We start from the raw sequence: 27755 nt of genomic DNA on the forward strand, positions 1-27755 counted from the left end.
GCTGATGGTAGTTTCTTTTGCTGTGCAGAAGCTCTTTAGTTTAATTAGATCCCTTTTGTCAATTTTGGCTTTTTTTGCCATTGCTTTTGGTGTTTTAGACATGAAGTCCTTGCCCATGCCTATGTCCTGAATGGTACTGCCTAGGTTTTCTTCTAGGGTTTTTATGGTTTTAGGTCTAAGATTTAAGTCTTTAATCCATCTTGAATTAATTTTTGTATAAGGTGTAAGGAAGGGATCCAGTTTCAGCTTTCTACATATGGCTAGCCAGTTTTCCCAGCACCATTTATTAAATAGGGAATCCTTTCCCCATTGCTTGTTTTTCTCAGGTTTGTCAAAGATCAGACGGTTGTAGATGTGTGGTATTATTTCCGAGGGCTCTATTCTGTTCCATTGGTCACAAGCGCTATGATGAAGAGTAGTTTTGATGATATTGAATCATAGTATCACTGAGCAACAAATGCAACAAGCAGCCAGAGAAAGGATAGGATCAGGGGAGGAAAAGGTAATTTACCATAAAGATAAAATGTCTATTTCAGTTGGGTAAACAGCAGAGATAGGAAAAAAAATTATCCCTTCAAAATAAAAAAGTTGTTATTATTATAATAAAAGTAATATAGACTTATTGAAACCTAATTTAATGATATCAGTAATTATCATTATTTTTAACATCTTGCTGTCTATCATGCTATATTAAAATACTTTCATTAACTTAATCAATTGAACTTCACATACAATTTTAAACTATTTTGTTAATATGCCAAAAATATACCACGTAATACAAGAAATATCTTAATATATCATAAATGTCAACAAATATGGAAGCACAAAGATATAATAACTGCATGTTTCATTACATGATTATATGAGAATTTACATAACTAGTGCTTTGATACACTCACTAGTATTGATTGCTTCTCATTTTTCTATATTTTAAGTAATGCTGTAATAAACATCTTGTGTACATTTTGTTTGTCTAATTGTTTTAAGATAATTTCTAGAAATTGACTTGATATGTCCTAAGGTATGCACATTTAAATTCTGATATATATTTTACCAAATTGCCATTGTGAAAAGCTGTACTAATTTGTTCCTATGAGTAGGATTTGAGAATATGTTTCTTCCAGCCAGTTGCTGCTTAGTGTGTTATCAATTTTTGAACTTTTGCCATAGTGATTAAAAACTCTGTATTTTACTATCTCATTTCTATGACTATAAAAAACTGGAATATTTTTGTTAATAATTTTATTTCTATATGTTACTATATAGTGAACCATATTTGCTATTATATATACAGAAATATAAATTTTGATATATACTGCATACTGTGTTATTTATATCTTAGCTTTATATATAATTATATTTATATATAATTAAAAATTTTTACGTTAAATTTTTACGAAGTCAAGGTAATCTTTTTCTTTTTTTTTATTTTATTTTATAGAGATGTGGTCTCACTGTGTTGCCTAGGCTAGTCTCAAACTCCTGGCCTCAAACTATCATCCCACCTTAGCCTCCCAAAGTGCCGGGATCACAAGTATGAGATAATCTTTTTCTTTATACTTTGTGGCCTTTAAATCGGCATCTTAATGTTATGTAAATAATAACACTTATTAACAATATTATAATAATTTACATCGTGTTTTATAGTTTAGCAAGTGCTAATCTCAGATTCTTAGAAAAACTTATTTATCCATTCAATATTATCTCATTTAATCTTTTCAAAATATCATTTAATCTTCACAAAAGCCTTGTGAAGGCAGAAAATATGATTGCCATTTAACAGGTAAGGAAATAGATTTAAAATATTTAAGCTTAGATAGTTAGTTAAATGGTAGTTCTGGACTTTAAATCTAGTTGAGAAATTTAAAGCAGACTCTGTCATTACAAAAGCCAGGAAAAATGACTTATTGGTAACACTGATGTCCTGCCTTCCCTGTGCTTTGGACTTCATAGCCGTTCAAGTTCCTGTTCATACTGATAAAATACACACCTGCAAAATGTCAGTGACAGTAAACAATTTTTTGTGCATCTTAAAAATTATGACTTATACTTAGCAATTTTGTTGTGAGAGTGGATCATTGCTTACTTTCCCAAAGAGCTTTGCATCTCAGGGACCAGCCAGGTTTCACCTTGGAGCTGTTTCTGCAGACCAGCTACTGGAACGAGAATCCTGCTAAGGCCATTAACAATTGAATCAGACTATCTGGAGCAGTGGTAGGGATGACTCAGTTACCCCAAAGTGTCCCTGCAAAGGATGGAAGTCCAGCTGCTTCATGTCCCAGAATGTGGGAAGAGGGCAGGAAAACATATTTGCTGTGAAAGAGCATTTCCCACAAATTTGTTTTCAGTTAGGGCCTGATGTTGTCTTACTGAAGCCGGGAAGAGGATTGACTTCTCACTCTACTCCTACATTTAGGGAGTTGAGAAATCTTTTCCTGATTCAAGCAAAAAGAAATTTTGGAAAACTGAAGGGGCTGAAAAACTATTCTTGGAAATCTAGACTGTTTTAAGTAGAATCTTAAGGGAAAAGGGAGAAATTATTGGGAAGGCCCTCTATCAGTTCTAAAATTGGCTTGAATACTTTGACTCTAATGATTTTTTTTGGTCTGCTATTAATGTCGAAGTTTTTGTTTGTTTGCTTTCTTGGTTAAAGTTCAAAACAATATGTAGGAAGAATCATGAACATTGGATGTCAACATCCCCAGGATCCTTTCTCTGATAATTGTCTTGGTTTGGGTCAGGCGGCACTGTCTATGCCTCGTTTCCACCTCCAGCTCACCTCTATCATAGTTCTTAACGCAAGAGGTTACCGTGAGATTTATTGTCTATCTCTTTTCCCGACTGTGAGATTCTTTAATATAAAGATTATTATTTATCTTTGCACCTCAGGGCCAAACTGTCTAGCACAGAAATAGTTTGGAAAAAGTTGGCTATGATTTCCTAAACACTGGAATGCCACCACTGAGAGGATGAGAAACCAATACGTTGTTAAATTTGATGTGAAAATCAGCACATAAAATGTTGATTGGTCCAATCAATGATATGGTACAACCCTTCACAAGGTGCCGTGAGAGCACAGAGAAGGCCTTCTCTACTTACTCTGGTAGGATTAAAAGAGGCTTCCTGGAGGATGTGACGCTTCGCCTGAAATCTTACATGCCTTCCAATGGTGTGCTGGGGTGGTTCATACTTGTTTAGGAGAGTCAATGGTTAATTTTTCAGGAATTTTGTGAAACAATCTTTAAACACAGCCAGTATTTTTTTTAAATCAATCTTTTTGAAACTTAAAACTGAATGAATTTTATTAAAAACAAAAGTAATAAATACTCAAAACTCTTCACTTCCTAATTATTTCACCACATTTTGCTATTATCTATGCTCTTAAGGTTATTTATTTCTCTGGTATCTGTATGAGGGCAATTTTCTATATTCAACATTTACACCATGGAAATTAGCAAAGCCTACAAACCAGAGTAGTAATCTTTTTTTCCCCAGACAGTAGGTTGTTAAATATTCTCTCTGACTCATTAACCATATTCACTTGAACAACAAGTCTTGCCTATTCAACCTCATTCATATCTCAAACTCTCAAAAATGTGTCCCCTCTTCACTTGGAAGCCCCTGCTTTCAATCAGGCTTTCTCTGCACTACTCTTGCAGTTGCTTCTTAAATGATCTTTGTGCTCCAATCTATTCACTTTCCAGCCCATTTTCTACATGGTAGTCAGAATGATTCTTCCTAAAAACAAACTTACCAAGTAATTTCTTTTTTCATTAATCCTCCAATAGCACCTAGAGTTTGCATTCATACATGTAAAGGCTTTCCCTATACTCAAGCACTTTAAGTTAGGACTTCCCCATTTCTTCTCACTGGGATTCTGTTCAGGTTTTCCAGCTTTCTTTCTTTTTCTTTTTCTTTTTTGGCGGAGTCTTGCTCTGTCGCCCAGGCTGGAGTCTCAGCCTCCCGAGTAGCTGGGACTACAGGCGCCCGCCAACACGCCCGGCTAATTTTTTTTGTATTTTTAGTGGAGATGGGGTTTCACCGTGTTAGCCAGGATGGTCTCGATCTCCTGACGTTGTGATCCGCCCGCCTCGGCCTCACAAAGTGCCGGGATTACAGGCATGAGCCACCCCGCCCAGCCTCTTTTTTTCTTTCTTTTCTTTCTCTCGTTTTTTTGTTGTTGTTGTTTTTTGTTTTGTTTTTGTTTGTTTGTTTGTTTTGAGACAGAGTCTTGCGCTGTGGCCCAGGCTGGAGTGCAGTGGCACGATCTCAGCTAACAGCTACCTCCGCTTCCCGGGTTCAAGCGATTATTCCACCTCAGCCTCGCGAGTAGTTGGGACTACAGGCACCCACACTGGGCTAATTTTTTTTTGTATTTTTAGTGAAGACAGGGTTTCACCATGTTAGCCAGGATGGTCTCGATCTCCTGACCTCATGATCCACCCGCCTCTGCAGCTTCTCCAAGTGAACTCATGTGCCGTATCATACCTCAGTGCTTGTCTCATTGTGTTTCTTCTACCCAGAATCTCTTATATGACTTGTTTTTATTAAAGGAGACAGCATAGCTAAGAGCATGTGTTTTTGTCATTTTTCGTCCTCACAGTAGACTGTTTCACTTCTCAGCTGTTACATACCATTTGAGAAAATTTGGGCAAGTGCATTAACTGCTCTGAGCTTTAGTTTTCTCATCTGAATATAGTAATAACAGTGCTTAACCTCTTGGGGTCATTGGAAAGATTAAGGAAGAAAAAACACCACAATTCTTTGTGTAGTGCCTAAAATATAATACTAAAGCAAAGTTAGCTTTTATTATCTTTTGGGAATTTGACTCGTCCTTCAAAATTCAGGACACATTTTTGCGCCCTTGGAATAGTCATCCCTGACCACCTCCCCTTGAAGTGTGATTTAAATATCCCTTTTCAGCTGGGGGCGGTGGCTCACGCCTGCAATCCCAGCACTTGGGGAGGCTGAGGCGGGCAGATCACTTGAGGTAAGGCGTTCGAGACCAGCCTGGTCAACATGTTGAAACCCTGTCTCTACTTAAAATATAAAATTGGCTGGGTGTAGTGGTGCATACCTAAAAATACAAAAACCTGGCGAGACATGGTGGCCCAAGCCTATAATCCCAGCTACTCGGGAGGCTGAGGCAGGAGAATTGCTTGAACCCAGGAGATAGAGGTTGCAGTGAGCCGAGATAGCGCCACTACACTCCAACACTCCAGCCTGGGAAACAGAGCAAGATTCCATCTCAATATATAAATAAATATCCCTTTTCTTTGATGTTCCCTATAGAGCTTTTCATAATGTAACATTAACTTTTACAAATTATTTTAAATCATAACAAAGTAATAGGTTTAACTGGTTTTAAAAACATGCTGAAAGACTGACAAATCCTGTTCTTCTCTGTATCTCTAAATAATAACCATTTTCCTCAAACTTGATTCATTAATTTAGACATAACCTATGGAATTCCAATAATGCTAGATAATGATTTTAGCTCTTACAACTCATTGCGTTTTTTCTATTCTATCATTATACTTATTTCACAATTTAAAAAAATCCATATTTAGTTTTCATTATCATGATTATGTAAATATGATATAGAATTAAATAGGGTATTGTGCTATGAATATATTTACATTTTTGGGGGGATTGCTTCTGTTTGTCCGTCCACCCGCCCACCCGCCCTCCCTTTCCTTCCTTCCTTCCTTCCCCACACCCCCTGCCTTAGTTGACTGGTAGGGGTATCAGTTAGAAATTTGGCTATTTACTTGTAGAATTGCCCCCACCACCTCCAGAAAACATCAGTATCTCTAGACGTTCGCTTGAGAGTAGGTCAATGTTTCTAGATACTTCTTCCAATTTTCTGCCAGGAGCTAGGGGTATCGAGTGATATCAAGTTTGACTGCCTGTGTCCTGTGCTTGGGTGAGGGTTGGCTGTCTTACTGTTCAGGAGGAAGTATGTTATTTACCCCCTCGTTTTTAATTTGAGGACTTACCCTTGCTCTCCTCTCTGCATTGTGTTTCCAAGTTCAGGGTCTCTGTGGTTCAGTTATTCCACAGATTATTACCCTCATATCCTTCCAACTGAACTCAACTCCCTGGGGGTGGAGCTGGGGGATATTGGTGTATAATTTCCTTTTATACCTTTTTTCCTCTAATGCCTATGCAACATCTGAGCGTGAGGTAATGGCACCTGCCAGGGTTTTAGATAAGCACAAACTGTGTAGAAGAGGTTAGAAAGTTGTCCACAATGAATTAAAACTTTCCTGCAGTTATGTATAGAACACATGAAAGGGCTGGAACATAAGAGATTGATTGTATTTAAATACATTTTTATTTTAAGAATGGTTGATGAGTAAGTTGGAAATAAATGCATTCGGTGGGACAGAAACATAAGAAAGACTTGTACATTTTTAATGATGAGTCAAATATGGAAAGCTTGACCAGCAGACATAATTTTAGCACCTGTAGATGAACTACGGCGTTGTTTTATAATGTGGAAGAAAAACTCAAGTTTGTAAAGAAGGCCTTTAGTATTTCCAAGAATTGCAAATAAGAGTGTCCTCTATATATCATGCACTTTATGTTCCTTATTTCGTTTAATCCTCACAACCACTATCTGAGATGGGAACTTTTACCATCCCCATTTCCAACAGGAGTCAACTGACTTAGAGTCTGACATAATTAGGTAAAAGCAAGAATGAAATCCTGACAGTCTAAGGCAAGAGCTTAGAATTTTTGAGCATTACGTTGTACTGTCTCCCAGGAAAGCATATGCCAATTGGCAAACAATCTGTTGCTAACTTGCCACTTAGACTTCCTAGGATAAAATTGCTGACCATCTTTCTTTCTGTGTGATTCAAATAGGATGGGGTGACTATTGGCTTTGTGACTAATTTTGTGTCTGTAATTTGAAAAAAATAGCACAGTGCTCACACTCTGTCTTAGTGCACATACTGTGCCATTGCCCATTTGCCCAATTCTGTTCCAAAGATCCATCACATGGTCAGGTGCAGTGGCTCACGTCTGTAATCCCAGCACTTTGGGAGGCTGAGGCAGGTGAATCACCTGAGGTCAGGAGTTCAAGACCAGCCTGACCAATATGGTGAAATCCCGCCTCTACTAAAAATATAAAAATTAGCTGGGAGTGGTGGTGTGTACCTATAATCCCAGCTACTCAGGAGGCTGAGACAGGAGAATCTCTTGAACCCAGGATGTGGAGGTTGCTATGAGCCAAGATTGTGCCACTGCACTCCAGCCTGGGCGAGAGAGCAAGACTTCATCTCAAGAACAAAACAAAACAAAAATCCATCACACTAACAGCTGCTTTTTTTGATTGTAATGGATTGAACAGGATTTCTGCTATAGGAAACAGTAAATGAGACAGCAGCTTTATTGTCATGTGACTTAATTTTACCTCTTCTCTTGGTGCTATGTTTTTGACATTATTTTAATGATAGATTTTTCTATCAAAATTGAGTTTCTCTAGTTACTTGACATTCAGAAAGAAGGTTGAATTCTTTGTCAAATGAATATTTATTGGAAAGGTGGTAGTGGAGTGGGTCCGTATGACTGCCTAATATGAAAATCAATTTGAGCATTCAATCAGCTCCAAATTCAGATACTTCAAGGGGATTGTTGAACTCCATGTATACCCTCATGCTACCTAGAAGTGAAGAGAGACCAAACTCTAGGCATGATAGAGCAAGTAATAGGAACATTTGAATTGAAACTTATGATTACTTTGAGAATCAACTGAGTGGTGCACAGTAGAAATCTAATAAGGTTCACACACATAATAAGATCCAGAAATAAAATGTAAAGAGCACCAAAAGTCATTCAAATTTCAAAGGAATTCACTGCTATTCTTATGTAATCCTCCATGTCATTCTTATGATTTCAATCCTGCCAAGTGGACATAGCAACCATCTCTGGAACTGCATAACAAGGTGAGCTGAGATAGAGAACATGGAACTGGTGCTGAACTATATCCACACATTACCTCTTTTCTTAAAGAAGTAAATCTTGTTGGCTGCTGGGTTCTGTGTACATGATCTGAAAGCTCTGTGGCAGGGAGGACTCTGAATCAAAAACAGCTCCCCACATTATTCATGACCATAGACTTATGCCTCCTCATTGGAAGAAATCTTAGATATCTTTAAAGTGGAGATCTATGAATAAAAAGTCACAGATCAAAGAGTAGAAACATTTATAGTCATGAATGCTTTTTAAGTAATTCATATAAAAGCTTTCACATCATACATTTTGCTTACTTTGAACATCCTGTTTTGGATCCTATGAGGTGCCTGTGGGTTAAATGTGATATGAATATTGGCAGTTGAAGCAGGCGGAGTTCTATTGGAGGACAACTTGTAGTGGTCTAAGTGGTCATTCTGAGGCAGACAGCAAAAATTATAAAATAATTTGGAAACTATGCATTTAATATGGCAGGAACATAAGCCATCAGCAAATAATCTTATTATATAAGCTACCATGTTTGCTCCTTTTAATTACTTTATGGAATTGTGACTCAATGAAAATAGAAAAATAAAATGGTGGCATAGAAGACTCATTTTAAGAGCAGAAATCTCTGTTTTCTTAATATTTAACTTATTTATTGATTCATTAATTTATCAAATAAACATATGTGGAGTGCCTATTAATATAGTAGACATTCCAAATGTTGCCTTCTTGTATGACCCTGAACAAGGCATTTGAATTCTGAGAGTTAATCTCTCTTTTTTTTTTCTTTTATTATTATTATACTTTAAGTTTTAGGGTACATGTGGACAATGTGCAGGTTACTTACATATGTATACATGTGCCATGCTGGTGTGCCGCATCCATTAACTTATCATTTAGCATTAGGTATATCTCCTAAAGCTATCCCTCCCCCCGCCCCCCACCCCACAACAGACCCCAGAGTGTGATGTTCCCCTTCCTGTGTGCATGTGTTCTCATTGTTCAATTCCCACCTATGAGTGAGAATATGCGGTGTTTGGTTTTTTGTTCTTGCGATAGTTTACTGAGAATGATGATTTCCAATTTCATCCATGTCCCTACAAAGTACATGAACTCATCGTTTTTTATGGCTTCATAGTATTCCATGGTGTATATGTGCCACATTTTCTTAATCCAGTCTATCATTGTTGGACATTTGGGTTGGTTCCAAGTCTTTGCTATTGTGAATAGTGCCACAATAAACATACGTGTGCATGTGTCTTTATAGCAGCATGATTTATAATCCTTTGGGTATATACCCAGTAATGGGATGGCTGGGTCAAATGGTATTACTAGTTCTAGATCCCTGAGGAATCGCCACACTGACTTCCACAATGGTTGAACTAGTTTACAGTCCCACCAACAGTGTAAAAGTGTTCCTATTTCTCCACATCCTCTCCAGCACCTGTTGTTTCCTGACTTTTTAATGATCTCCATTCTAACTGGTGTGAGATGGTATCTCATTGTGGTTTTGATTTGCATTTCTCTGATGGCCAGTGATGATGAGCATTTTTTCATGTGTTTTTTGGCTGCATAAATGTCTTCTTTTGAGAAGTGTCTGTTCATGTCCTTCACCCACTTTTTGATGGGGTTGTTTGTTTTTTTCTTGGAAATTTGTTTGAGTTCATTGTAGATTCTGGATCTTAGCCCTTTCTCAGATGAGTAAGTTGCGAAAATTTTCTCCCATTTTGTAGGTTACCTGTTCACTCTGACAGTAGTTTCTTTTGCTGTGCAGAAGCTCTTTAGTTTAATTAGATCCCATTTGTCAATTTTGGCTTTTGTTGCCATTGCTTTTGGTGTTTTAGACATGAAGTCCTTGCCCATGCCTATGTCATGAATGGTAATGCCTAGGTTTTCTTCTAGGGTTTTTATGGTTTTAGGTCTGACATTGAAGTCTTTAATCCATCTTGAATTAATTTTTGTATAAGGTGTAAGGAAGGGATCCAGTTTCAGCTTTCTACATATGGCTAGCCAGTTTTCCCAGCACCATTTATTAAATAGGGAATCCTTTCCCCATTGCTTGTTTTTCTCAGGTTTGTCAAAGATCAGATAGTTGTAGATATGCGGCATTATTTCTGAGGGCTCTGTTCTGTTCCATTGATCTATATCTCTGTTTTGGTACCAGTACCATGCTGTTTTGGTTACTATAGCCTTGTAGTATAGTTTGAAGTCAGGTAGTGTGATGCCTCCGGCTTTGTTCTTTTGGCTTAGGATTGACTTGGCAATGCAGGCTCTTTTTTGGTTCCATATGAACTTTAAAGTAGTTTTTCCCAATTCTGTGAAGAAAGTCATTGGTAGCTTGATGGGGATGGCATTGTATCTATAAATTACCTTGGGCAGTATGGCCATTTTCATGATATTGATTCTTCCTACCCATGAGCATGGAATGTTCTTCCATTTCTTTGTATCGTCTTTCATTTCATTCAGCAGTCGTTTGTAGTTCTCCTTGAAGAGGTCCTTCACGTCCCTTGTAAGTTGGATTCCTAGGTATTTTATTCTCTTTGAAGCAATTGTGAATGGGAGTTCACTCATGATTTGGCTCTCTGTTTGTCTGTTGTTGGTGTATAGGAATGCTTGTGATTTTTGTACATTGATTTTGTATCCTCAGACTTTGCTGAAGTTGCTTATCAGCTTAAGGAGATTTTGGGCTGAGATGATGGGGTTTTCTAGATATGCAATCATGTCATCTGCAAACAGGGACAATTTGACTTCCTCTTTTCCTAATTGAATACCCTTATTTCCTTCTCCTGCTTAATTGCCCTGGCCAGAACTTCCAACACTATGTTGAATAGGAGTGGTGAGACAGGGCATCCCTGTCTTATGCCTGTTTTCAAAGGGAATGCTGCCAGTTTTTGCCCATTCAGTATGATATTGGCTGTGGGTTTGTCATAGATAGCTCTTATTATTTTGAGATACGTCCCATCAATACCTAATTTATTGAGAGTTTTTAGCATGAAGGTTGTTGAATTTTGTCAAAGGCCTTTTCTGCATCTATTGAGATAATCATGTGGTTTTTGTCTTTGGTTCTGTTTATATGCTGGATTATATTTATTGATTTGCGTATATTGAACCAGCCTTGCACCCCAGGGATGAAGCCCACTTGATCATGGTGGATAAGCTTTTTGATGTGCTGCTGGATTCGGTTTGCCAGTATTTAATTGAGGTTTTTTGCGTCAATGTTCATCAAGGATATTGGTCTAAAGTTCTCTTTTTTTTCTTGTGTCTCTGCCAGGCTTTGGTATCAGGATGATGCTGGCCCCATAAAATGAGTTAGGGAGGATTCCCTCTTTTTCTATTGATTGGAATAGTTTCAGAAGGAATGATACCAGTTCCTCCTTGTACTCTGGTAGAATTCGGCTGTGAATCCATCTGGTTCTGGACTCTTTCTTGTTGGTAAGCTATTGATTATTGCCACAATTTCAGATCCTGTTATTGGTCTATTCAGAGATTCAACTTCTTCCTGGTTTAGTCTTGGGAGGGTGTATGTGTCGAGGAATTTATCCATTTCTTCTAGATTTTCTAGTTTATTTGCATAGAGGTGTATGTAGTATTCTTTGACGGTAGTTTGTATTTCTGTGCGATCAGTGGTGATATCCCCTTTATCATTTTTTTATTGCGTCTATTTGATTCTTCTCTCTTTTCTTCTTTATTAGCCTTGTTAGTGGTCTATCAATTTTGTTGATCCTTTCCAAAAACCAGCTCCTGGATTCATTAATTTTTTGAAGGGTTTTTTTGTGTCTCTATTTCCTTCAGTTCTGCTCTGATTTTAGTTATTTCTTACCTTCTGCTAGCTTTTGAATGTGTTTGCTCTTGCTTTTCTAGTTCTTTTAATTGTGATGTTAGGGTGTCAATTTTGGATCTTTCCTGCTTTCTCTTGTGGGCATTTAGTGCTATAAATTTCCCTCTACACACTGCTTTGAATGTGTCCCAGAGATTCTGGTATTTTGTGTCTTTGTTCTCGTTGGTTTCAAAGAACATCTTTATTTCTGCCTTCATTTCGTTCTGTACCCAGTAGTCTTTCAGGAGCAGGTTGTTCAGTTTCCATGTGGTTGAGCGGTTTTGAGTGACATTCTTAATCCTGAATTCTAGTTTGATTGCACTGTGGTCTGAGAGACTGTTATAATTTCTGGTCTTTTACATTTGCTGAGGAGAGCTTCACTTCCAACTATGTGGTCAGTTTTGGAATAGGTATGGTGTGGTGCTGAAAAAAATGTATATTCTGTTGATTTGGGGTAGAGAGTTCTGTAGATGTCTATTAGGTCCACTTGGTGTAGAGCTGAGTTCAATTCCTGGGTTTCCTTGTGAACTTTCTGTCTTGTTGATCTGTCTATTGTTGACAGTGGGGTGTTAAAGTCTCCCATTATTATTGTGTGGGAGTCTAAGTCTCTTTGTAGGTCATTCAGGACTTGCTTTATGAATCTGGGTGCTCCTATGTTGGGTGCATATATATTTAGGGTAGTTAGCTCTTCTTGTTGAATTGATCCCTTTACCATTATGTAATGGCCTTCTTTGTCTCTTTTGATCTTTGCTGGTTTAAAGTCTGTTTTATCAGAGACTAGGATTGCAACCCCTGCCTTTTTTTGTTTTCCATTTGCTTGGTAGATCTTCCTCCATCCTTTTATTTTGAGCCTATGTGTGTCTCTGCATGTGAGATGGGTTTCCTGAATACAGCACACTGATGGGTCTTGACTCTTTATCCAGTTTCCAGTCTGTGTCTTTTAATTGGAGCATTTAGTCCATTTACATTTAAAGTTACTATTGTTATGTGTGAATTTGATCCTGTCATTATGATGTTAGCTGGTTATTTTGCTCATTAGTTGATGCAGTTTCTTCCTAGGCTCAATGGTCTTTACAATTTGGCATGATTTTGCAGTGGCTGATACTGGTTGTTCCTTTCCATGTTTAATGTTTCCTTCAGGAGCTCTTGTAGGGCAGGCCTGGTGGTGACAAAATCTCTCAGCGTTTGCTTGTCTGTAAAGTGTTTTATTTCTCCTTCACTTATGAAGCTTAGTTTGGCTGGATATGAAATTCTGGGTTGAAAATTCTTTTCTTTAAGAAGTTGAATATTGGCCCCCACTTTCTTCTGGCTTGTAGGGTTTCTGCCGAGAGATCCGCTGTTAGTCTGTTGGGCTTCCCTTTGTGGGTAACCCGACCTTTCTCTCTGGCTGCCCTTAACATTTTTTCCTTCATTTCAACTTTGGTGAATCTGACAATTACGTGTCTTGGAGTTGCTCTTCTCGAGGAGTATCTTTGTGGCATTCTCTGTATTTTCTGAATCTGAATGTTGGCCTGCCTTGCTAGATTGGGGAAGTTCTCCTGGATAATATCCTGCAGAGTGTTTTCCAACTTGGTTCCATTCTCCCCATCACTTTCAGGTACACCAATCAGACGTAGATTTGGTCTTTTCACATAGTCCGATATTTCTTGGAGGCTTTGTTCATTTCTTTTTATTCTTTTTTCTCTAAACTTCCCTTCTTGCTTCATTTCATTCATTTCATCTTCCATCGCTGATATCCTTTCTTCCAGTTGATCGCATCGGCTCCTGAGGCTTCTGCATTCTTCACGTAGTTCTCAAGCCTTGTCTTTCAGCTCCGTCAGCTCCTTTAAGCACTTCTCTGTATTGGTTATTCCTGTTATATATTCGTCTAAATTTTTTTCAAAGTTTTCAACTTCTTTGCCTTTGGTTTGAATTTCCTCCTGTAGCTCGGAGTAGTTTGATCATCTGAAGCCTTCTTCTCTCAACTCATCAAAGTCATTCTCCGTCCAGCTTTGTTCCATTGCTGGTGAGGAGCTGCGTTCCTTTGGAGGAGGAGAGGCGCTCTGCTTTTTAGAGTTTCCAGTTTTTCTGTTCTGTTTTTTCCCCATCTTTGTGGTTTTATCTACTTTCGGTCTTTGATGATAGTGATGTCCAGATGGGTTTTTGGTGTGGATGTCCTTTCTGTTTGTTAGTTTTCCTTCTAACAGAGAGGACCCTCAGCTGCACGTCTGTTGGAGTTTCCTAGCGGTCCACTCCAGACCCTGTTTGCCTGCAGCGGTGGCTGCAGAACAGTGGATTTTCATGAACCGTGAATGCTGCTGTCTGATCGTTCCTCTGGAAGTTTTGTCTCAGAGGAGTACCCAGCCCTGTGAGGTGTCAGTCTGCTCCCGCTGGGGGGTGCCTCCCAGTTAGGCTGCTTGGGGGTCAGGGGTCAGGGACCCACTTGAGGAGGCAGTCTGCCAGTTCTCAGATCTCCAGCTGTGTGCTGGGAGAACCACTGCTCTCTTCAAAGCTGTCAGACAGGGACATTTAAGTCTACAGAGGTTACTGCTGTCTTTTTGTTTGTCTGTGCCCTGCCCCCAGAGGTGGAGCCTACAGAGGCAGGCAGGCCTCCTTGAGTTGTGGTTGGCTCCACCCAGTTCGAGCTTCCGGGCTGCTCTGTTTACCTAAGCAAGCCTGGGCAATGGCGGGTGCCCCTCCCCTAGCCTTGCTGCTGCCTTGCTGTTTGATCTCAGACTGCTGTGCTAGCAATCAGGGAGACTCCATAGGCGTAGGACCCTCCCAGCCATGTGCGGGATATAATCTCCTGGTGCACCATTTTTTAAGCCCGTTGGAAAAGCGCAGTATTAGGGTGGGAGTGACCCGATTTTCCAGGTGTCGTCTGTCATCCCTTTCTTTGACTAGGAAAGGGAACTCCCTGACCCCTTGCTCTTCCTGAGTGAGGCAATGCCTCACCCTGCTTCGGCTCGCTGCACCCACTGTCCTGCGCCCTCTGTCTGGCACTCCCTAGTGAGATGAACCCGGTACCTCAGATGGAAATGCAGAAATCACCCGTCTTCTGCGTCGCTCACGCTGGGAGCTGTAGACCGGAGCTTTTCCTCTCTTTTTTTTTCTTTGAGACAGAGTCTTGCTCTGTGGCCCAGGCTGGAGTGCAGTGGCGTGATCTCGGCTCACTGAAAGCTCTGCATCCCGGGTTCATGCCATTCTCCTGCCTCAGCCCCCCATGTAGCTGGGACTACAGGTGGGTGCCACCACACCCAGCTAATTTTTGTATTTTTAGTAGAGACGGGGTTTCACTGTGTTAGCCAGGATGGTCTCTATCACCTGACCTCGTGATCCACCCACTTTGGCCTCCCAAAGTGCTGGGATTACAGGCGTGAGCCACTGCGCCTGACAATCTCTTCTTTTTTATACTGTAAGAGAGAAGGATGACATAATTCTTATAATAGAAAAAAATACCTAAAATATAGTGTGCATGTGTATGTATGTTTGAACAGCAATAAATTTAGAAAGTGTTTAGAATAGCAATTTATAAATGCTATATAACATAATATGCACTATTAGCATAACTATTTTAAAAGAATTAGGAATACCTTTTTAACTTAGAGAGGAAAAAGTGGAGGGAATCCTGGATGTCACATTTCCCTCAGACTATTTCCCTAAAGAGACATTTATTAGGATAATATTCAGTAATAAGCCTTTGTATTTTTCAGATCAATTTTCTCCTTGAAGTCAGTTAAATTTTCCTTGGGTGCCATGGTCGTCTTCTGAACCAGATTCTGACTACCTCGACCGTGGGTTCCCATGGCTGTTCCTTCCCATGTCCACCATTGTTTGGCTTTTCACCATATGACAGTGGTCTAGTTCACAGCGGGAACACTTTGACTAAAATAGTGTTACTGAGAGCCAGATTGTTTTTACTATTGCTGAATGGATTTCTTATATTTGCAGATCCAGTTACACTTAATTTTAGCTGAACTGTTTCCTTCTTAAATCTGGAAGCTTAGGTATTACTATACCATTTGTTTCTCTCTCTCTCTCTTTTTTTCTGTTTCTCTTTTTAGTATCCCATTTGTAGATGAAGGAACTGAGCCTCAGTGTCATAACCAGTAAATGGTCATTTCAGGAAAGAAGCTCAACACTAAAATGTTTCAGTGTCTATTCAACTGCCTAGTGGTTCCCAATGAGGTGCTACATCTTGTTATGGGTGTGCATAAGAATCTCAGTGTATGGCAGTCTATGAAGTTTTAAAATAGGTAAACACTCAGACTAAAAGAGAATTCATTTGTTTTAGCCATATCTAATTTGTTTGAAAATTTTAACAAAGAGAGAATGAAGTTTTTATGTTAATCTAAGGAATATATATTAAGTCATTTGAGTCCACCTTAGTAATTTTTATTATGTAAATCTCATGTTGGTATTATTTTTGCTTGGCATTTTTATTTAAATATGATTATTGCTTTTGGTTAAATATATTTTTAAATGAAACTATATCATTGCCATAAATGGAAAACTGGGATAGCTTGCCATAAAAATAAGGTAGCCAATAAATAGAGATAACTACTGAAAAGAAACATAAATGTATCCAAAGACCTCATAAAATCGTTACTTGCTTACTTGTACTTGGAATGAACCACACTTTGAGAAACTCTGATTTTAGAAAATATGAGAAACATTGTATTATTCTATACTACCTCTGCTAGTGAGGTTCAACATTTCCATACCTTACTAAAACTGACTTGAATTTATAGGGCCCATAATTTTGTGTGCCCTGTAATTTGTGAAAATTGCTTATTTCTACCTGCCGTGGTGTTGTCTGCTAATTGTTATCTAAAATCTAACCTCTTCTTAGTTCAGTAGTAGATCTATGTAGCTATCTATCTATGTATCTATCTACCTATCCCTCCATCATTTATTTTTCACATCATCAGTTTAAAAGGAAAGTGTTTGTGTTATGCTTTCCTTTCTTCTTTCTCATAGGCTAGAATGTGGGCACAGTGGTGGTGAACTATCTGAATACACCCTAGGGAATCAGAGAACAAAAGAAGGGGCTTGACTTGTGGGATGACCTTGTGGAGAAGACTGCCTACCCCTCTAGATAGTTTATCAGCATAAACTTTTATGAAATACTATTCAACAATAGAAAATGAACTACTGGATAAATAAACTGTGATACATCTAGACAATGGAATATTATTCAGCACTACAAAAAAAAGATGAACTATCAAGCCAGGCAAAGATGTAGAGGAATCTTCAATTCGTATTACTAAGTGAAAGAAGCCAACATGAAATGGCTACATAGTCTATGATTCCAATTATATGACATTCTGCAAAAGGCAAAACTATGGAAACAGCAAAAAGATCAGTGGTTTCCGGGAGTTAGGAGGCAGGGAGGGATGAATAGGCAGAGCACAGTGCATTTTTAGAGCAGTGAAACTATTCTGTATGATACTATAATGACAGATATCTGTGGTTATATATTTAACAAAATGCACAGAATGTATAACATCAAGAGTCAACCCTAAACTGTGGACTTTAGATGGTAATGATGTGTCAGTGTAAGTTTATCAATTGTAACAAATATACTGCTGTGGTGTGGGGCATTGATAGTTGGGGAGTTTGTGTACGTGTAGGGGCTTGGCGTATATAGGAACTCTATGTTTTGCTCAGTTTTGCTGTGAACCTAAAATTTCTCTAAAAGTCTATTAAAATAACAAATATTTTATACATAGTATATCCTGTGAAAGTTAAAGGAGAGGATTAAACATATTCAACGTGTGAGACAATATAAAATTCCTAGAAACCACTATTTTGGTTCATTTGGACCAAAGTATCTCAGTAGGTTGGAAAGTTTAGTTGTCTAATTCACAAACTTAGCACTTCATCTACTCAACAGAGACTTCCAGAATTAATCATCTAGGAAGCTGGCCAGGATGCAATTGGAATAACAACAGGAAAACCAAAAATGATTTTCTAGTTTATACACTCATATATACAGTGTACATCACTACTATAGAAAGAAGAGTCAAAAATTAATATCCTCTGCAAATGGAAGAGTCCACACAGAAACCAAATACATTTCTGGAATGCCAATGACAATTAAAGTTACATTGAATGTAAAGGCATTAATATTCTTTAGCCAGTGTATACCCTGCTAATGTCTGGTGACAACTCTCTGATGTTCTCTCTCACTTTTTCATTAAAAAAAAGACAAAGTTCCTGTTTTACATAAATTGAAGAGCCTTTAAAATTACTTTTTCTCATCCTCCTCTTTCATAAATGTTTTTCAGGCATCGACCTAGTTTATATGACAACACATCCTTTTGAGAAAATCATAAGGTATTTACTTATTGGGTACCTACTGTGTGCATTATTAGAGCAGTTATGACTAAGTGGTCAAGATGAAATACATGAAATTCACTGTGACCTCCATTTGAAGTTTCAAAATTTGCCAACTACAGAATTAAAAATCCATTTACGTTATCAAAGAAGAATTGTCATTATTAACAGACAACATAGTCATTTATGTAGAAAATCAGTTGAATCTACAAAAAAAGATACTAAAACTAAGTAAATTTAGCAAGCCTGCAAGATAAATGATCAATTTTAAATACAAAGAGATAGCACTGTACACCTATCAAAATGGTTAAAACTAAAAACACTGACCATATCTAACATTGGTGAGTATGTGGAGGGACTGGAACTCTTATACACTGCTGGTGGAGGTGTGAAATTGTACACCACATTAGAAAACAGTTTGACAGTGTCTTAAAACATTAAGCATACTTCTACAATATGATCCAGCCATTCTACTTTAGATATTTACCAAAGGGAAATGAAAGCATATGTCCACATGGAGACTTGGATACAAATATTTATAGCAACTCTATTTGAAGTATCTAAAACTTAGTAACAGCTTGATGTCCAAGCACTAAGTAAATAAATAAACTCTGTGTATACATCCAATGATATTCAGCAATGAAAGGAATAAACTACTGATGCACACAACATCATGGAAGAATCTCAAAGTAATTATGTGAAGTGAGAAGCCAAACATACAAAGAATATACTATATACGTTTTCATTTATGTAAAATTCTAAAAAGTGCATACTAATCTATAGACACAAAAAGCAGGTCAATGACTGCCTGGGAATAGGGAAGGGAAGGGATTATGAAGGAGCTTGGGGAAACTTTGGGGTTTTATAGATGTGTTCAGTTTCTTCATTATGGTGGTGGTGTACAGGTTTATGCACATATCAGCACATATCTGTCCGCAGATCTCTTCTGCTGACATAATAAATTCTTTCTGATATCCCTACCTCTTAGCTTTCTAACCCTTTCTCAAGGAAGTCTTGGCATCTTTATCTCAGTTTCTGTTGGCCATCATTATGCCAAATTGCAAGGCATGGTTCTAGGGTTGTATTAGGCTACATTTCAGACATCTCTGGCAGAATAGTGACTCCGAGTCATACATGAAGGCTCCATCAAATGTTAATACATTCCCACTATCTGGCCTTAGTTTTTGCTCCATCTCCTGCCCCATATTAACACCCTCCAGACACACTCTTACACTTTGTTCTCCCAATCCTTGCTAATATACGTGACTGCAGATATTAGTTTTCTACTTGTGCTGTAACAAATAACCACAAATTTAGTGACTTGAAACAACACAGCTTTATTATCTTACATTTTTGTAGGTCAGAAGTCAGTACAAATCACAAGTCTCACTGGACAAAATCAAGTTGTCAGCAGGTGGAGTCTTTCTGGAGGCTTCAGGGGAGAATCTGCTTCCTGCTATTTGAGGTGTTGGTGGGATTTAGTTCCCTGCAATTATAGAACCAAGGACCCTATCTTCTTACTGGTTATAAAATGAGGGCTGTTTCCAGCTTCTAGAGGTTGTTGGATTCCTTGGCCCATGGCTCAATTTCTCCCTTTTTACAGCCAGCAAAAATGAGTTGAGTGCTTCTCTGGTCACATCTCTTCAGACTTACTCCTCTGCCTTTCTCTTCTACCTTTAATGACTCATGTGATTAGATTGGACCAATCCAGGATAATACCCTCATTTTAAGATTCTTAATATTAATCACATCTGCAAAGGCCTTTAGGCATGTAATATTCACAGGTATCAGGGATTAGGGAACAAATATATTTAGTGAGGGAGGGGTTTCTCTGACACACTCAGATTCTATTATTCCTTTGATGTAGATGCTATTTCTTCCTAAAGCAGACACTATAATTTCATGCTGTGCCTTCATGTCCACTTAATCACACAGGATCTCCAGGTAAGGAAACGATTCTCTGGTAAGAGAATTCTCTTGCTAGCATGATTTTGTCCAGGGAAATCAGGGCTTCCAGATTCTCAGCCTCAGATTAATGCATAAACAAATTGTGATATATACATGGAATGTTATTTAGCAATTAAAAGGAACAAACTATTTATATTAGAAGAAAAACAATGAATCTGGAAAGTATTACGTTAAATGAAAGCATAGAGGTTAAAAAAATGTTGTACTGTATAATTCCATTTATGTGACATTCTGGAAAATGCAAAACTATAGATATTTAAAAAAATAGGTCAATAGTTGCCAGAGGCTAAAGGTGAGGGTAAGAGATTGACTTCAAAGGGTCATGAGAGAACTTTTTAGGGTGTTAAAAGTATTTTGGATCTTGATTGTGTTGCTGGTTGCATAAGCATGTGAATTTGTCAAAACTCATTGACCTGTACTCTTACAAGGGGTGAATTTTATTGTATATAAACTACACTTTAATAAATCTGATTTAAAAAAAAAACGAATCTCAGGCTTATCCATTGAATATCCTCATCCAAGGCCACAGAATTTTATTTCTTTCCTGCTGGGTTCCTGACTGTGACATAGGACATCTGTTGAAGCTTGCATTTACTACCCTTTAATGCTCTGCCATCTTTATAATTAGATTAGGGAGGAGCCTGATTTTCAGCACAATCACCCCTGCAGCTGCAGTTTAATGTCTTTTTCAAGCTGCCATAGAGGATCTACAGCTTTCACAGCATGCTTTGAGTTTAAGTTGGCTACTATGATTCTTTCTTTTTCTTAAGACTTCCAGCAAATAAAATCAGCTTGTTCTACAAATGTAATTATTGTCAGCTCCACGAAGCATTAATGGGCCACAGCCATCACATAACCCAAGGCCTTACCGTCTACTTACCTTATCCTAAAAAACCATAGGCAAGAATCTTAGTAATTCTTATTTTTACTCAGTTCCAATGGTAATCCTCATCTCAACTGGCAGCATGAATAGGGATCATCTTATTGCCCTCTGACTGGGGAGTGTTCATGCTCCAAAATTCTATCTTGAGGGTCTACTGTCTCGGGCCACGTTTGATAATAACTGGGTTAGTACCAAGTTCCCAGAAAGCTGATCCTGGAACAAAGGCTCCTTCGTGATATATGTGAGAGGTTTATTGGAGAGTATGACCCAGGGAGGGGGATTAAGTTGACCTTAGGGGTAAAGCAAGAAAGAAGATGGGGTTATTACAAAGGTATATCATTGAGTTGGGTATTGCTACATGCTACTGATTACTTAATTCTGCAGTGTTGTCTAAGCAGCCATATGAAAAACACTTTAAGACTGTGAGCTTGGAAGAATAGGAAAATCAGTTCTAATTTTCATTAAATGAATATTTGCCTTGGTATTAACTCCTCATAATTTCTGGGTTGCATATGTAAGCATTGAGCAGGTTGTTTGGTGTCCTACTCTAGGGCATCAAAACGTAAGTTCTGGGGTTTGGGATTAAAAACAAATGGCATGGGTGGCCAGGGACTAAGCGCTATCATTTGTACAGTGTGAAGTTGATAGGAACATACGTAGAGCTGGTTGATATAGTTGTGGAATATTGGACAACAGAGTCCAAAAGAGTGTAAACTGGTGATTAAAAGGTGTTCAATATACTATCTGATAGAGCTGTCATAACAATTACATGAATATGTGTAAAGCAGTTCAAACAATACCTAGTATTTGTATACATAGTCAATAAATCATTTCTATTATGTGTCATCGTGGACCTAATCAGGATAGAGGATTTCACTGACCTCTCTTCTCTCTTCTAGTCACAAACACTAAGAAATGTTGTATACTGTCTTACTTCAAGATGCTATGACAAAGTACCATAGACAGGGTGGCTTATAAAAAATAAAAATTTATTTATTACAGTTCTGGAGGCTGAAAGTCAGAGATCAGGGTGCCAGCATGGTCAGGTTCTGGGTTTGCAGACTGCCAGCTTCTCACTATACTCTCACATGGTAGAAAGAAAGTGAGCTGGCTTTCTGAGATCCATTTCATATGGGCACTAATCCCATTCATGAGGGCTCCATCCTCATGACCTAAATACCTCCCACAGACCTCATCTCCTAATACTATCACATTGGGGTTAGATTTCAATATATAAATTTTGAGGGCACACAAACATTCTACCCACAACATATATTCATTTCAAAGAATAAAATACTTAGAGTATACAGATCAAAACTACAGAGAAATGCTAGATGTGTTTCTGCCTGAGTGTTTTCTGCTCATGGTCTGAGCTTGGGTAAACCCTGTTAAATTCACCACAACCCTTTCATGCAAACTAGCTATTTTTCAAGACCTAAGGATTATTAATTTAATTTGCTTTTAGCAATAATCTCACTACCAATTTTGGTTATTGGATAAACATAATATTTTCCAGTCAAGTCAGCCTTGAGGATCATTTCTAGATATTGTTTTCAAGGAAGCCCATATTCTCATCATGTGTCAAATCTTATCTGACACTATAAATACATTGCTATATAAAAAATGCAGTACTTTTAAACAGGTAAGGTAGGAAATCATTTTTAAGGATGCAGGGAGGAAATTGTGTCATTGTAACAACAGCAAAAAATTAAAATGCACTTATTATATTTTAGACTCTGAGGCACACATGACAGTTTCTCATGAAGTTTCTACATAATTTATAAGTCTGGCTTGTATGGCTCTACCCATTCTTCATGGCCAATATACTTTCTGATTCATCAGTGCCTGTGCTATGTTGGTTACTACATGTTTTGAATAGCAGCCTTGGAAGTAGCTACATATTAGAATTTCCATTTTACAGCAAAGAAGCTGAGGACTTGTTAGATTAAGTAATTTGATACAGATTAAGCCACTCAACTTTAAAGTGACAAGATTTTAAGTTCCTTTTTTGTATCTTGCAAAGTTTCTACCACATCCTACTGCCTCTGATCTAAACACATCATGCTACTGTGCAGGTAGTTGAAGCATAAAAACATCGCACTGTGTATTAGCCATGCATATGGGTGAGAATTAGGCTAATAAAAATTCACTGAAAGTGTTTTGCCCTGAAGAAAGCAAGGTGCCTGCCATTTCTTGGAGTTTATGTGTTGACAGTGTTAAAAAAAAAACTGGAGTGTACAAAGAAAGTTGTCTTGCTTCCTACTTTATAGCCTCCATCTGGTCAGGAAAGGAGTAAATTGACCACATCTGCTGCAAATCTGTAGCTGTACTATTGGACCTTTCAGCTTTGTCACTAACTCTGTCTTATCCCCAAGATCTGGGATACTATATCCTGTACAGGAGTATGCCAATTTTCACAACTTTTGTACTCTTCTCTAGCATTCTTCAAATTCATATTCCCTTGGGCATCCTATAGGATAAGAGTTGGAAAAATTTTTATTTAAAGCAACAGATAATAAATATGTTAGGCTTTTTGGACCAATAGGACAAATTCATGATAATATTTAAGGTATATAATGAGTGAAAATAAATTTCCACAAAATTTTTATTGATAAAATTCAAAATATAATAATAATAATTAAGTACAAATTACTTTGTGACTTAAATCTAATGAAAATAGTAATATTATTTGGGGGGAAATAGCATTTCACTTACTTCAAAATTAGCATTCCCTATAATCAAATGTTCATCTATAGAAACTATCTTAACTCACAGGCTCTGCCAAAACAGGTGGTAAGCCGGATTTATCCCAAAGACCATATTTTGCCAACTCTTGCTTTAGGAAAAGCTTGAATCTCTGTTGGAAGACAGGCAAAAATATGCATATTTTATAAACTGGTACAGGGGGCCATCATGAGTAGATTCCAATAAAGATCTTTACTGAGGTCTTGTGTGTGCAAAGGCAAAAAAGGGAGGAGTTTATATTTTGTGGACCCAGTGATACCTGTCTCACATATTGGTTTCCAGGCCTACCTACATGAAGTCAGAGGTTTGTGTATGTGAAAAGTGGGACATCAGGCACAGATTATAGAGGCATACTGTCAAAGCCTTTTGTGGTGCACGGAGAGTACAAGTATTTTTTCTTGAGTGCCCACTTCTGTGTCAAAGTGTGACCTAGAGTGGGGAATAAGAAATATTCTTCCCACTTTTTCATCAGCATTAGGTGGCCAGGAACAATGAGGATGCAGAAAATACAATTATGGGGCCAATAAGCAGTGGCCTTGACACAAATATGTGTGTTTTTACAGAGAGAACCAGCAATAGTGGCATAGTAAGGCTTTAATCTTAATTAGCTGTGGGGTAATGAACATAGATGGAGTCATGAAAGTAATATTCCATTCTACAAAGTCAACTGTGAATATTTTTTAGTGCAAGGCTAGTACACAAGCATTCCAGGAGGTCAACGAGTTTTCCTTACAATATCTTAGAATGATGTTAAAAAGTACCACATCAATGAATTCCACTTCTGGATGGCAGCATAAGAAGTTCCATGGACCCACTCCCCAGAAAAACAAAGTTGGTAAAAAACAATGAAAAAAATCCAATAAATTAAAGTCTCTGTAAAGTGTCCTAAGGGAATAAAGCAAATAAATATTTACTAGAGAAAATCTACTAAAACCTATTAAGAACAGCCAGTCAGTAGCATTTGATCCACAATCCTCCCTCTCGAGACCATCCCCAGCTCAGTTTAGAGGAGCTCCATTATGGATGGATGAAGCTAAGGAAGAAGTCCCTCTCCCTTCATCTTCCAATCAATGCTTACAGTATCTCAATAGGAGGACAAGGTTCTAGCACTTTTCATCTCTTTCAACTCCAAATTAAAAAAATAATATTCCTGTTGAGTACAGGGAAAGGCTGAGGATCCCTTTCCCCCACCAAGCTCATCTTCATAGTACAGAGACTCCATCCCAGGCAGGCAGGCCAAGATTACAGGGACCTCCAGCTGTCCTTGCTTCGGGTCATACATTGGGCAGAGATTCTACAATGAAAGAGGCATGCAGAGACAACCAGAGGCTTATTGCCTAAATTAGTGACTAGAGAGGTTGCCTAAGGGGAAAAACAGTGAATAGGAAAAGAGAGGTCTGTAGCTCTACCCAAATGAACTGACATTATTTGAATCCAAATGTGAAGAAGTTCAAGCCTAAGGGCTCTTCTAAAACAATAGCTCCTCTCAATTAAGAGCAATAAGCTAAACAATAAGCAAGTTATTTCTTCAGAGAGAACCAGAGAAAGAGATAGCGAAGAAAAGCCCTCCCTAGGGTCAAAAGACTGGCTTCAAAAGCAACAAATTTAATTAGATCAGACTCCAGCAATTTATGCCTTAGGGCATTGTTAAAAAAAAAAAAGCAATAGAGCAATTAGCCTGTAATTAGTGGAGTTCAGTGAGTGGGGTGTATTACCAAATGAAGCAGATAGCTTGGTAACAATATTAAGGGATATTAAGGAAATAAATAGGTAAAGAAAGCCCTGCTTAAACATCCCATCCCAGAATGACAGTACACATGATGAAGGTGGGTACCTTCCAAGGAATACACCAAAGACTTCACGTCATGGATGAAATGTAAGTTACTAATATAGACTAACCATTTCAAAAAATAAGCAAACAACAATCAAAACAAGTACCCAAAACAGCTATACTACCTAAAATATCCAATTTTCAACCAAAGTTATGAGATAGGCAAAGAAATAGAACACATGACACACACACAGGAAAAAAAAAAAATCAAAAGAAACTAGCTGTAAGAGGGATCAGGTATCAGATTTAACAGATAATAAAATTACTTCAAAGTAGTCATTATAAATATATTCAATGAACTAAAGGAAACTATTAAGGAAGTAAAGTATGAAAACAATGTCTCAACAAATGGAGGTTATCAATAAAGAAATATAAGTTATAAAAACATAACAAATGTAAAGTATGAAGCTGAAAATTGTAATAATTAAAATGAAAATTCATTAGAGGAATCTAGCAGAAGAAGGTGTCAACAAACTTGGAGACAGACTGATAGAGAATACCCAATCCAAAAATCAGAGAGAAACTAGAAGACACTGTGGGACAATTTTATGTCTACCAAAATATTCATAATAATAGTACCAGAAGGAAAGGAAAGGGGCAGAGATAATTATTTGAAGATCAATAGTTGAAAACTTTCCAAATTTCATAAAAAATACAAATCTATGCATTCGAGAAGATCCGTGAACTCCAAGTAGGATAAATCCAAAGAAATCAATGCCCAGCTGAATCATAGTAAAAATGTTGAACATCAAAGGAGAAAATTCTGAAAGCACTAAGGGAAAGACTGCTCTTTAAGGATAAGGGAATCCCAATGAGATTAACAGCTGACTTCTAGTCAGAAACAATGGGGGCCACAAAGCATGAGATTACATATTCAAAATCCTAGGAACACAAACAGTCAATAAAAATCTTGTATCCAGCAAAACTATCTTTCAAAAATGAAAGTGAAATAAAACATTCCCAGGTAAGCAAAAAAATTGAGAAAATTCATTCCTAATGGGCGTGCTTTCCAAGAAACACAAAGGGAAGTTTTTCAGGCTAAAATCACATAAACACAGGTGAAAATCAAAATCCACATGGACAAGCAAACTGTACTGGTAATAATTATGTAATTATAAAAGAGTATAAATGCATATTTTGCTTTTTTCTTGACTAATTTTGAAGCCAATTATATGAAACAAATGTATACAAGTGTATTGTTGGGTCTATAGCATAGAAATGTAATATATTTGACAACTAAAGCATAAAGGAGATAAGTAGAATCAAAACTTTATTGAAAAAGGAAATGACTTAAGATGGTAAGTTGAACTTGAACAAATAAAAAGAGCCAGAAATGATAAATAAGAAAAATATTACTAACTTCATAAATATATATTTGAAGTCCTTTCTTAGCTTCTTTAATAGACATTATATAAGCTAGTAATTATAACAATCTATTGCTGAATTGGTAACCTATATAGATAAAATATGTATAACATAAAAGGAAGAAGGAGGCATAAAATAATATAAAAGAAAATTTTCTGTGTCTTGTAAGAATTAGTATAAATATGAACTAGATTCTTATTAGTTAAGATGTATAAGGTAACCTCTAGAGAAGCCACTAAGAAAATAACAAAAAGGATAGTGAAAAACAATCACCAAAGGAGTTAAAATATAGCACTAGCAATATTCACAAATGAAAAAGCAGCAAAAGAAGACTAGAGGAACAAAAAGACATGGAGCCATTTAGAAAACAAAAAGTAAACTGGCAGATGTAAATCAACAATATTAAAACCATTAAATGTAAATGGATAGATACAATATTCAATATTTGGGTGATAGGTACATGAGAGGCCCAACACTCACCATTACACACATAATACTTAAGTAATAAGCACATGTACTCCCTGAATCTAAAATAATTTTTTAAAAATTAAAAAATGTAAATGGATTAAACAATCCAATTAAAGGGCAGAAATTGTCAGAATGGAAGAAACAAGATCCAACTATATGCTGTCTACAGAGACACACTTAAGTTTTGATGATACAAATGGTTGAAAAGAAAAGAATAGAAGGTATCTGAAACCACCTTTGCAAAACTATGATAGTAAGAGAAGTTTGACTTAGTTGACTCCATCTTGCTTCTGACCTCCAAGCTGTCTTTGGTTTTATCCAGGGTACAGCCCAAGCTAACTTTGGGAGGAATTTAATTTGTAGTTTGACTTGGAAGCAAGGATGATAATAATCCC

At 37.4% G+C, this 27755-nt stretch overlaps 2 annotated features.

Annotated features, from left to right (window-relative positions):
- Positions 14104–14605: an enhancer, noted in NCBI's record as "H3K27ac hESC enhancer chr8:122068285-122068786 (GRCh37/hg19 assembly coordinates)". NCBI's record gives its function as "activates a minimal SCP1, AML or CMV promoter by ChIP-STARR-seq in primed H9 embryonic stem cells {active_cell/tissue: H9 hESC(primed)}" and the evidence as "EXISTENCE:reporter gene assay evidence [ECO:0000049][PMID:30033119]".
- Positions 22473–23958: an enhancer, noted in NCBI's record as "VISTA enhancer hs1482". NCBI's record gives its function as "enhancer in: limb[3/5]" and the evidence as "EXISTENCE:transgenic organism evidence [ECO:0001131][PMID:17130149]".

The sequence above is a fragment of the Homo sapiens genome, chromosome 8 (assembly GCF_000001405.40).
Source record: "Homo sapiens chromosome 8, GRCh38.p14 Primary Assembly".
Taxonomy (NCBI): Eukaryota; Metazoa; Chordata; class Mammalia; order Primates; family Hominidae; genus Homo; species Homo sapiens.